This window comes from Homo sapiens, chromosome X (genome assembly GCF_000001405.40).
Source record: "Homo sapiens chromosome X, GRCh38.p14 Primary Assembly".
NCBI lineage: Eukaryota > Metazoa > Chordata > Mammalia > Primates > Hominidae > Homo > Homo sapiens.
Window position 1 is genome coordinate 23687055 of NC_000023.11, and position 12886 is coordinate 23699940.

The window sequence follows — 12886 nt, forward strand, 5'->3', positions numbered from 1 at the left end:
CTATTTCATCATCCCATTTGCCACCCCAATATGGCAATTACTTTATTGTCATTATCTGTAGACATGCCATGTAGTTAAGAGACCAGGTACCCAGGAGAATTAACTTCATCCTGTCTTCCATGCTAATCTGCTAATCTCTGTCCGTTTTGTTTCTGAGACAGGGTCTCACTCTGTCACCCAGGCTGGAGTGCAGTGGTATGGTCTTACTGCAGCCTCAACCTCACGGGCTCAGGCAATCCTCCCACCTCAGCCCCCCAGGTAGCTGGGACTATAGGCATGCACCACCATGCCCGGCTAATTTTTATGTTTTTTGCAGACATGGGGTTTCACCATGTGGCCCAGGCTGGTCTTGAACTCCTGAGCCTAAGCAATCCACCCGCCTTGGCCTCCCAAAGTGTGGGAAGATGCATGAGCCCCTGTGCCTAGCCATCCCCTCTCTTAATACAAAAAGCCCTTCTCCTGGGGAAAGGCCATCACTAGAAGTGGTGGGGGGATTACTGGGCTTCTGGCTGAAATTGAGGTCTGTCGCAAATGGCGGGTGATTTGTAGATACACAGGAATCCAGCTGCCATTTATAACCTTTTTCTATAGCAGAGTATGTTCTAATGCTAGTTTACAGTTGAAGTTTTATAAACCAATCTATTAGTAAAGTTGAAGACTGCTAGTACTTTGATATCTAAACAGGTTTGTGATAACCTTGTCAATAGGTCCAATACAATGGGAATTCTATATGCAGATTTCCTCCTTCCAATCTAAAAAGTACAAATGTTTTACTCATGAAATAAGCTGGTATCCCTTTTTTTAAGAGTCAGGGTCTCACTCTGACATCAATGTATTTATGTGTCTGTATATATTCATACACGTACACTCCAAGCTGGAGTGCAGTGGCATAATAATGGCTCACTGCAGCGTCAAACTCCTGGCCTCAAGCGATCCTCCTACCTCAGCCTCCCAAGTCTCTGGGACTACAAGCATGCACCAGCAGCATCTTCTTGATTAATAGTTTCCATTCTTTGGAGCTTTTCTAGCCTCCTGTTCATTTTAGTATGGTTTACAAGGAGAACTATTTGTAGGTCCACCCAGAAAAACCAGTCATTAATGTTTCATTCAACATTCAGCAACTATTGACCACCTAAACACTTGGCGTACATCAATGACCAAATAACAAATTTCTGCCCTCAAGGAGCTCAGTATTTGATTACTGAAGCGGGTGCTGATAGAATAGTAATTTCTTGGTACTCACAAGTAAGTGAAGATACATACCCTGACTTGCCACTTTTTTTTTTTTTTTGAGATGGCGTCTCGCTCTGTCACCCAAGCTGGAGTGCAGTGGCACGATTTCAGCTGACTGCAACCTCTACCTCCTGGGTTCCAGCGATTCTCCTGTCTCAGCCTCCCGAGTATCTAGGATTACATGCGTGTGCCTCCATGCCTGGCCAATTTTTGTATTTTTAGTAGAGACGGGGTTTCGCCATGTTGCTCAGGCTGGTGTCGAACTCCTGAACTCAAGTGATCTGCCTGCCTCGGCATCCCAAAGTGCTGGGATTACAGGTGTGGGCCACAGCGCCTGGCCTCTCACCACTTTTCGTATTAACTGAGTGATATACATAGCTTCCGAATAAAATAGCACTAAATGCACCCCTTTTGTCAGTGCCTTTTATAAACTATCCCTTCAAAGAGCTGACTTCTGAAAGTCCATAAATCCAAGCTTACATCTTAAAAGATGGTCTCGTGGCCATTTACAAGACTGGAAAAAGAGTTGAGAAAGGATAGTCCCCTGCCCTACTGGAGACGATGGACCCTGGGCCTAACCAGGATGCAGCTACTAGAGACCTATTCCCAGAAGATGCTGACCTACCATAATCTGGAGCAGTGCTTCTCAATGGGGAGGGATGGAGATTTTGCCCCCAGGAGACATGGCAATATCTGGGATGTTTTTATTGTCAAAACTGAAAATACAGCCGGGCGCGGTGGCTCACGCCTGTAATCCCAGCACTTTGGGAGGCTGAGGCGGGTGGATCACGAGGTCAGGAGATCGAGACCATCCTAGCTAACACGGTGAAACCCCGTCTCTACTAAAAAAAATACAAAAAAAATTAGCCAGGCGTGGTGGCAGGCGCCTGTAGTCCCAGCTACTCGGGAGTCTGAGGCAGGAGAAAGGCGTGAACCCAGGAGGCGGAGCTTGCAGTGAGCCGAGATCACGCCACTGCACTCCAACCTGGGCAACAGAGTGAGACTCCGCCTCAAAAAAAAAAAAAAAAACTGAAACTACTACTGGCATCTGGTGGGTAGAGGCCAAGGGTGCTGCTAAACATCCTACAATGCACAGGACAGTCCCACAGCAAAGACTTTTCTGCTTCAAGATGTTAACTGTGGCAATGTTGAGAAAACCCGCTCTAGAGACTAAGGAAAGGAGGAGACCAGTATCATTTAGTAGCTGCCTGTACAGCAGGAGGTCAGAACAATGCCACAACAGTAGGAGCTTACCCAAAATAATAGATCAAGAGATGACCTGCCCACAAACATTTAAAAAATAGTAAATAAGGCCGGACATGGTAGCTCACGCCTGTAATCCCAGCACTTTGGGAGGCTGAGGCGGGCAGATCACCTGAGGTCAGGAGTTTGTGACCATCCTGGCCAACATGGGGAAACCCCGTCTCTACTAAAAACACAAAAATTAGCCAGGCATGGTGGTGGATGCCTGTAATCCCAGCTACCGGGGAGGCTGAGGCAAGAGAATCGCTTGAACCCGGGAGGCGGAGGTTGCAGTGAGCCGAGATCACGCCACTGTACTCCAGCCTTGGCGACAGAGCGAGACTCTGTCTCAAAAAAAAAAAAAAATTAGTAAATAAATAGGAGGCCAGGAGCAGTGGCTCACGCCTATAATCCCAGCACTTTGGGAGGCCAAAGTGGGCAGATCACCTGAGGTCGGGAGTTCAAGACCAGCCTGACCAACATGGAGAAATCCTGTCTCTACTAAAAATACAAAAATTAGCCGGGCATGGTGGCAGACACCTGTAATCCCAGCTACTCAGGAGGCTAAGGCAGGAGAATCCATTGAACCTGGGAGGCGGAGGTTGTGGTGAGCCGAGATCAGGCCATTGCACTCCAGCCTGGGTAAAAAGAGCGAAACTCCATCTCAAAAAAAAAATGTAAATAAATAGGTGACTGACTGGCCGCGGTGGCACACACCTGTAATCCCAGCACTATGGGAGGCCTAGGCGGGTGGATCACCTCAGATCAGGAGTTCAAGACCAGCCTGACTAACATGATGAAACCCCATCTCTAGTAAGTACAAAAAATTAGCTTGGCTTCGTAGTGGACACCTGTAATCCCAGCTACTTGGGAGGCTGAGGCAGGAGAATGGCTTGAACCTGGGAGGCAGAGGTTGCAGTGAGCCGAGATCGTGCCACTGCACTCCAGCCTGGGCGACAGAATGAGACTCCATCTCAAATAAACGGAAGTGACCTGAAGTTTCTATGAAACACACCAGGCAATATCTTTCCAGTGCACTAATATATGAATGACATCTATTATTCCCTGCTTCTCCCTATAATTTCTAGTCTTCTGTTGAATATTTCACATTTAAGCCTGGCCAGTGTTCTGAGGTTTCCAGTGATCATGGTGGACAGCTCTTTCAGGGATTTCTTAGTCCCTAGAATCTCACACAAGAGATCATTCCTCACGCCCTCCCCACCACATCCCCATTGTCTCTTCTCTGTCCAAGAGCTCATCTAACCCTACATCCTAAACTTCCCATCTGTCACTAGGTTTCCAGGTTGTATATTTTGTTCTCAAACACATTAACTACTATTTTATTATTTAATGATATTTTGGTATCCTAACCCCCCTATGAACTTTGTGACAACACTATGTCACTGAGAAATCTTTGAATACAAGGTTATTAATATATAAGATGTAACAAAATATGTGTTTCAGGTAAATAATTTCATAGACCGGGCGTAGTGGTTCACACCTGTAATCCTAGCACTTTGGGAGGCCGAGGCGGGCGAATCACTTGAGGTCAGGAGCTCAAGACCAGCCTGGCCAACATGGTGAAACCTCGTCTCTACTAAAAATACAAAAATTAGCTGGACGTGCTCGCTTAAACCCAGGAGGCGGAGGTTGCAGTGAGCCAAGGTCGTGTCACTGCACTCCAACCTTGGTGACAGAACAAGACTCTCTCTCAAAAAAAAAAGTTTCATAAAAGTGTCTGCAGTGGAGGGGAATATATATACACATATCTATGTATTTGTGTGTCTATATATATTCATACATATATATAGGGTCAAAAAACTTTTACAGCTGGGTGCAGTGGCTCATGCCTATAATCCCAGCACTTTGGGAGGCCGAGGCAGGAAGGTCACTTGAGCCCAGGAATTTGAGACCCGCCTGGACGATATGGTGAGACCTCATCTCTACAAAAAGTATAAAAATTATCCAGGCGTGGTGTCTTGTACTTGTAGTCCCAGCTGTTCCTGAGCCTAAGGCAGGAGGATCATTTAAGCCCAAAAGGTCAAGCCCTCAGTGAGCTGTGATCACACCACTGCACTCCAGCCTGGGCAAGAGAGCAAGACCCTGTCTCAAAAAAAAAGAAAAAAAGAAAAGAAAAGAAAAAGAAAAACTGTTTTTCCTCTGTTCTCACATGACAACAATCAATACAGAAGACTTCTGTGACCAAATGTGTAGGGTGTAGGGATTTTCCCCACCAACAGGCAAGCAATTCTGCAGTGGACACCAGCCAGGAATCTTCTGATCCAATTCAATTCTGATGCTGTCCACCTGGATATAGCATCAGATACCACAGGTTGAGGGCTCAGACCCACAGGACTGCCCCCACTTCAGACACCAGCTCCCAAGTACAGGCCTCTGGAACTTCTGACTGACTGACTTCAAGTTGGGGTTCCCATGACCCCCTCTTTAGGCTCAATTGTTAGAGCAGCTTGCAAAACTCCGGGAAACGCCCACTTACACTTACCAGTTTCTTATGAAGGATATTTTGAAGGATACGAATAAACACCCAGATGAAGAGGCACATAGGGCGAGGTCTGGAAGGGTCCTGAGCACGGGAGCTTCTATTCCCGTGGAGTTGGGGTGCACCATCATCCCAACACATGGGTGAATTCTTGTTCACCTTCCTGCAAGCCTTCACCAGCTCAGCTGTCCAGAAGTTCTGCGTACCTGGTCCTCTTGGGCCTTTTATGGAGACTTCATTGGATAGGCATGACTGAAGCATGGACAACCGTGTCAAAATGTGATTGGATCGCTTCTCGGCCTTTTGGCTAAGATCAAGTGCAAAACGTGATTGGGCAAAAAGGGCATGATCTAATGCTAATAGACGGAGTGGGGAATCCTAGCAAGGCCTGTCCAGATTCCTGTTGGCCTCTCTGCACGGCACTCCTTCCTCCTGGGTTGAGGGCAGGACCCTTTCTAAAATGAGGATCTTATGACCTACAATCAGACAAGGTAGGTCAGAGAATTTCTTTATGACCGGCTCCAAATACAAAGGTGGGGGCAGATTATATTTTCAGTTTCTATGGCCTGCCTTGGAGAGACAAAGGAGCAGGTGAAAAAGGAGAGTATGAGAAGGTCAGCGGGAGAGGCTGTTTTCTGAGCCCTGCTTCTGAGGCCTACAGCACCCGCACATTAAAACCAAAGATGGTCTTTTCCTTTGATCGCTCTGAAGCACTTCCAAAGCTGCTTCAGGAACCAAGGACTAAAGGACGAACACTTTAACAAAAGATATGCTTATTGCTTAATCACTTGGGAAATAATAAGGGCTATGGGAGTTATGAGCCAGGAACCATGGACAAAAAGCTATATATATATAATGATATCACATATATATAATGATATCACATAGATATACATATGTATATATACACACACAGATGCTTCTATAAACTCATATTTTTTACCTAGCTTTTCAACAGAAAAGAAAATGTTTATCATAGTTACTATGTATTTAGTTTCATATAGCAAAGTAATTTTTACCAATCCTATTACTAAATAACAATTTTAGCATAATATTGTACATTTATGTAAAATGCTAAAAATATATTTTATTTATTTATTTTGAGAGGGGCTGGAGTGCAGCAGCACAATCTCGGCTCACTGCAGCCTCTGCTTCCCAGGTTCAAGTAATTCTGCCTCAGCCTCCCAAGTAGCTGGGATTACAGGCAAGCACTACCATGTCTGGCTAATTTTTGTATGTTTAGTAGAGGCAGGGTTTCACCATGTTGGCCAGGCTGACCTCAAGTGAATGGCCCGCCTCAGCCTCCCAAAGTGCTGGGATTACAGGCATGAGCCACCGTGCCCAGCCCAAAAATATATTTTAAAAGAGCCTCCTTCCTGAGTCTTAAACTTACAATTTTTTTTAATTAACAAATTCAAAAGCCAACTCGAACACCCAAATTCACCTAAATCGTATATTTGTTCACACAAAAAACATTTATTACCTAAATATGTGCAAGGGACTTTGCTAGACAATAGGAATAAAAAGATCTGATACAATTCCTTCCCTCAAGAAGCCCACAGTCTCATAAGTGAAATAAGCATGTAAGAAAAGGAATTATGGCCAAGCACAGAGGCTCACGCCTGTAATCCCAACACTTTGGGAGGCCAAGGCAGGCGGATCACTTGAGCCCAGGAGTTCAAGATCAGCCTGGGCAACATAGTGAAACTCTGTCTCCACAAAACATTTAAAAATTAGCCAGATGTGATGGTGCACGCCTGTAGTCCCAGATACTCGGGAGGCTGAGGCAGGAGGATCACTGGAGCCCTGGGGTAGTTGAGGCTGCAGTGAGCCATGATCATACCACTGCACTCCAGCCTGGGTGACAGAGTAAGACCCTGTCTCAAATAAATAAATAAATAAATATTTAAAAATGGAATTGCAATACCTTGGAATAAGTGCTAAAAACACCAGCTCCTGTGGAGGTTCCATGGTGAGCACAAACAACCACAAGAAAAATCAGGGATGGAATGAGGGAAGGTTTCACAGGGAAGAAGAGGTGTACACCCATTTCCCATTTCTCCACTGAAGGCCATATCATCTGCAAGTAGCCCTTACAGAAGAAGACAGTACTTATCACCCAACGTCAAGAGAACCAAGGACTGACTGGTTTTCCTCTTTGATGATTATCTACTGGGAAATGGCACATATTTTAGAGTTGATTGGCTAGGGTTAGGGGTCAAATGTGGGGCCAAGGCCAGATGGAAATTTTAAGAATTGAATCAAGGCTGGGGGCAGTGGCTCATGTCTGTAATCCCAGCACTTTGGGAGGCTGAGGCAGAAGGATCACTGGAGCTCAGGAGTTTGAGACCAGCCTGGGCAACAGAGTGAGACCCCAACTCTATAAAAAAATTGTTAAAAATAGCCAGGCCTGGTGGTGTGCGCCTGTGGTCCCAGCTATTTGGGAGGCTGAGGTGGGAGGATCACTTGAGCCCAGGAGGTCCAGGCTGCAGTGAGCCGTGATCAAGCCACTGCACTCCAGCCTGGGTGACAGAGCAAGACCCTGTCTCAAATAATAATAATAAAAAAAGAATGGAATCTGTAGTCTTGATTTCATTACTTCAAGCTCTGGCTATTTGTACAGTTCACTCTGGACATCAGAAACAGGATTTCCAAGTTGTGTTAAAGGGAATACACTGCACTGTAACACAAAGGCCACAAGATGGCACCCAGCCCACAGAAAGCAAACAGCCACTTGTGAAGCCGGGGCGGGTGGGGATGGGGGTGGGGGCGGGGGGGTGCGCCGGGGGTGGGGGGTAACGCGGGGGAGCGTTACCCTAAACTAAAAGAGCAACAATTAACTGTCAAACTAATGTTTTTACAAATTTAATTTATTAAAAAACAGGAAAATAACTTAGAAATTCAGAACAATTTAAAACTAAGCACAACTTAAATAGGTATGTGAACTTTACTAAGTATACTCCTTCCATCCATGATGGAAGGTCAAACTTTTTAACCATAATCCATGTAGAAGTACATTTTACATTGTGACCTAGTACTCACGTAGATGTGTGTACCATGTGCATACATAACGTGTCACACAACACTTAACATTACTATGCATGATGCATTCTGATGTTTTTTCTTTTTTTAAATATTCAAGCCCACTCATTTTTATGTCCTACTAATTTCAAGCCCATAGTTAGAAATATATATATATATTTTATATATATATAAACTGTCTAAAAATATATATTTTATATATATATATATATATATATATATATATATATATATATATATATATATATATATATATATTTAGACAAAGTCTCGCTCTGTTGCCCAGGCTAGAGTGCAGTGGCGCAATCTCAGCTCACTGCAACCTCCGCCTCCCAGGTTCAAGCGATTCTCCTGCCTCAGCCTCCTGAGTAGCTGGGACTACAGGCGCCCGCCATCACGCCTGGCTAATTTTTGTATTTTTAGTAGAGACGGGGTTTCACCATGTTGGTCAGGCTAGTCTCGAACTCCTAACCTCGTGATCCACCCGCCTCGGCCTCCCAAAGTGCTGGGATTACAGACGTGAGCCACCGTGCCTGGCGGATATATATATATATAATTTTTTTTGAGACAGAGTCTCGCTCTGTCGCCCAGGCTGGAGTGCAGTGGCGCGATCTGGGCTCACTGCAGCCTTCGCCTCGCGGGTTCAAGTGATTATCCTGCCTCAGCCTCCCAAGTAGCTGGGACTACATATGCGTGCCACCATGCCTGGATAGTTTTTTCATTTGTTTGTGGAGATGGGGCTTTGCCATGTTGGCCAGGAGGTCTTGAACTCCTGGGCTCCAGATATCCGCTCGCCTCAGCCTCCCAAAGTGCTAGGATTACAGGCATGAGCCACCACGTCTGGCCCTAATCCCTTCTTTTAACTCCTCTTTTCTGTTTCCTATTTTATAGTAAATTCATTACTTGCTGCCAACAGAAGGGAAAGAAAACACAACTCAGCTGGGCGCGGTAGCTCACACCTGTAATCTCAGCACTTTGGGAGGCGAGGCAGAGGAGGTCGGATTACCCGAGTTCAGGAGTTTGAGACCAGCCTGGCTGACATGGTGAAACCCCAGTCTCTACTAAAAATACAAAAATGAGTTGGGCGTGGTGGCGGGTGCCTGTACTCCCAGCTACCCGGGAGGCTGAGGTAGAAGAATTGTTTGAACCCGGGAGACAGAGGTTGCAGTGAGCTGAGATCGTGCCACTGCACTCCAGCCTGGGCGACAGAGTAAGACTCCATCTCAAAAGAAAAAAAAAACCACAAGTCAATTTAGAGAGTCAATCACAATTGTCGCAAAAGTTTTATTCTAAGAGGAAATAAACCAAATGCCCAGAACATTTCAGCCATAATTCATTCTTATGGTTGAGACTTGACTGCATTCTGATCCATATATAGATGGCATTAGTTAACCCTTTACTATAATAGCTGAGAAAATATGTCAGAAATGTGGCAAAGGACCAAAATTCTAGACCTAGTCTCGCCTCTCCCACTTATATAGTTACAAGTTAGGCTTCAGGAAGTTACCTTCCCTCTCTAAGCCTGTTTCCTCATCTGCAAAATGTGGGTAATAATAGTACTGATCTCAAAGAATTACTGTAAGGATTAAATGAGAGTATACATTTTAATGTCACTAGTACAGTGCCTGACACATATGTGTTAGCCACATATAAAAATTATATGATTACATCTTTTTTTTTTTTTTTTTTTTGAGACAGGGTCTCCTTCTGTTGCCCAGGCTGGAGTTCAGTGGCACGATCTTGGCTCACTACAGCCTCTGCCTCTGGGCCCAAGCAATTCTCCCACCTCAGCCTCCCAAGTAGCTGAGACTACAGGGACACACCACCAGGCCCAGCTGATTTTTCTATTTTTTGTAGATACAGGGTTTCACCATGTTGCCCAGGCTGGTTTCAAACTCCTGGACTCAAGCAATCCACCAACCTTGGCCTCTCCAAGTACTGAGACTATAGGCGTTTCACCATGCTGGCCAGGCTGGTCTCGAACTCCTGACCTAAAGTTATCCACCTGCCTTGGCCTCCCACAGTGCTGGGATTACAGGCGTGAGCCACTGCGCCCGGCACTTATTATTTTTTTAGAGACAGGGTCTCACTCTGTTGTCTCACTCTGGAGTGCAGTGGCACTATCACAGCTCATTGCAGCCTCAAACTCCTGGGCTCAAACAATCATCCCGCCTCAGCCTTCCAAGTAGCTGGGACTACAGGCACGTGCCACCACGACCGGCTAATTTTTTTATTTTCTGTAGAGATAGGGTCTCACTATGTTGCCAGGCTGGTTTTGAACTCCTGGCCTCAAGCAATCCTCCTGCCTCAGCTGGGATTTCAGGTATGAGCTACTGTGCCTGGCTGAAACTTTCTTTTTAATAGGGACCTCTTAATCATCCAATCAGTGGCCTTTTCCCAGTATTCATCCTTACCACCTTCAGTGACACCACTGATCCCTCCAAGAAAATGGCTTTGAGAGGAAGGAGGGTGCTGTGGTTAAGACCCGGGAATCTGGCTGCTCTTAGAGCCCTCAAGCCACCATTTAAGAAATCCAAGGCCGGGTGGGCACGGTGGCTCATGCCTGTAATCCTAGCACTTTGGGAGGCTGAGGCGGGCAGATCATTAGGTCAGGAGTTCTGGACCAGCCTGGCCAACATGGTGAAACCCTGTTTCTACTAAAAATACAAAAATTAGCTGGGCATGGTGGCACGTGCCTGTAATCCCAGCTACTCAGTAGACTGAGGCAGGAGAATCACTTTAACCTGGGAGGCGGAGGTTTCAGTGAGCTGAGATCTTGCCATTGCGCTCCAGCCTGGGTGACAGAGCGAGACTCCACCTCAAAAAGAAAAAAAAAAAAAAGAAAAAAAGAAAAAAAAAAAAAAGAAATCCAAGGCCGGGCACAGTGGCTCACGCCTGTAATCCCAGCACTTTGGGAGGCCGAGGCAGGCAGATCACTTGAGGTCAGGAGTTCGAGACCAGCCTGGCCAACATGGTGAAACCCCATCTCTACTAAAAAAATAAAAATTAGCTGGGCGCGGTGGTGGGCGCCTGTAATCCCAGCTACTCAGGAGGCTGAGGCAGGAGAATCGCTTGAACCCGGGAGCCGGAGGTTGCAGTGAGCCAAGATAGTGCCAATGCACTCCTGCCTGGGTGACAAAGCAAGACTCTGACTCAAAAAAAAAAAAAAAGAAAGAAATCCAACCAGGCTGGTAGCCAGCCACCTCAGCCACCCCAGCTGAGGCACCAGATGTCCCAGCCCCAGATGAACTCCCAGATGAACAGAGCTGACTGAGTGACCTTAGCCAATGCTACATGGAACAGAAGAACCTCCCAGGTGAGCCCAGCCATCCCACAGAATCAAGTATATCTTTAGAAAGATAAACTGCACAAACTAATTGAAAAGAAAAAGAAAAATGTTGAAACCCCAGGGGAGTTGGGTGCAACTTCAGTTCTCTAGGAGTCAAGTGCTTGGCTCTATTCAAAAAGGTGCAAGAAAGCAGATTGGATCAGAGCAAACACAGGTATCAGATGGAACACGTTGACAGAAGATTTGGGTTACCACAGAATCACATGGACATGCCCAACACAGTGCAAAGCATACTAGAATGAAGTAAACTCTCCTAAAGAAACCAGTGAAAAAGACAGCATCCTCAAAGACTACACATTGAAGAAGCATGGAGGCAAAAACTAAGAACTTGGTAATAAATGCCTGAAGTAAAACTGGGATCTCAGCACAGACTATTTAATATAAAACAATGTCCAACTCACATGAGGAAGATGTATGCTAGAACTTAGCAGTGCTGGTGCTGGGTAAAAATTCTCCTTTAACTTTTTTTTCAGACGCAGTCTCGCTCTGTCGCCCAGGCTGGAGTGCAATGGCGCCATGTCGGCTCACTGCAATCTCTGCCTCCCAGGTTCAAGCGATTTTCCTGCCTCAGCCACCTGAGTAGCTGGGATTACAGGCACCTGCCATCATGCCCAGCTAATTTTTGTATTTTTAGTAGAGACGGGGTTTCACCATGTTGGCCAGGCTGGTCTTGAACTCCTGACCTCAGGTGATCCGTCCGCCTCGGCCTCCCAAAGTGCTGGGATTACAGGCGTAAGCCACCGCTCCCGGTCAAAAATTCTCCTTTATTCTTTGAGAGGGACATAACACTAATAATCCAGAACCTAGTGTATATCCGTTAGTTTGCTTCACCTCATCTTCTTAAAAGTCCTGTATTAAAAACCAAAACCTCTAGCTTTTATATCTGTATTGGTAGAGGACAGATTTGGGGTGAAGATTCTGGTATCCAAAATTACGTGAGCAATTTAACAAAAAGACAACAAAAACAATAAGCAATTTAATTTCAATCTCAGTAGAATTCAGAGAAAGGCAATTAACAAATGTCAGTTTTCTTTTTTTGGGGGGGTGGGGGGGGACAGGGTTTCACTTGTTGCCCAGGCTGGAGTGCAGTGGCGTGATCTTGGCTTACTACAGCCTCAAACTCCTGGACTCAAGCAATGCTCCCAGTTCAGCCTCCTGGGTAGCTGGGACTACAGGTGTGCACCATCACTCTGAGAGGAGTTAGCTAGCTTTCCTTAGGTAGACAGCAAGGGAAGGGTCCCCAAAGAGCCCCCAACCCACGGGTCAGTGCCTCATCCCCACAGAACAGAGAAAGCAGCCTGGGGATAAAAATCAAGCTGCAGGCACCGATAAGGGAAGTAGCACAGGGTGGTGGTGTGCCTGGAGACAAGCCCGCGGCTGCACAGATCCGAGAACCTCCAGCCCACTTAGATAAAAACTTGCACAAACCTCCAGCTCACTCAGATAAGGGAACAAGACCTGACATAGAAATGTCTTTGTCTTTTGTATAATCAGCAGGTTCCCGGGAAAAAGTTTCTTCT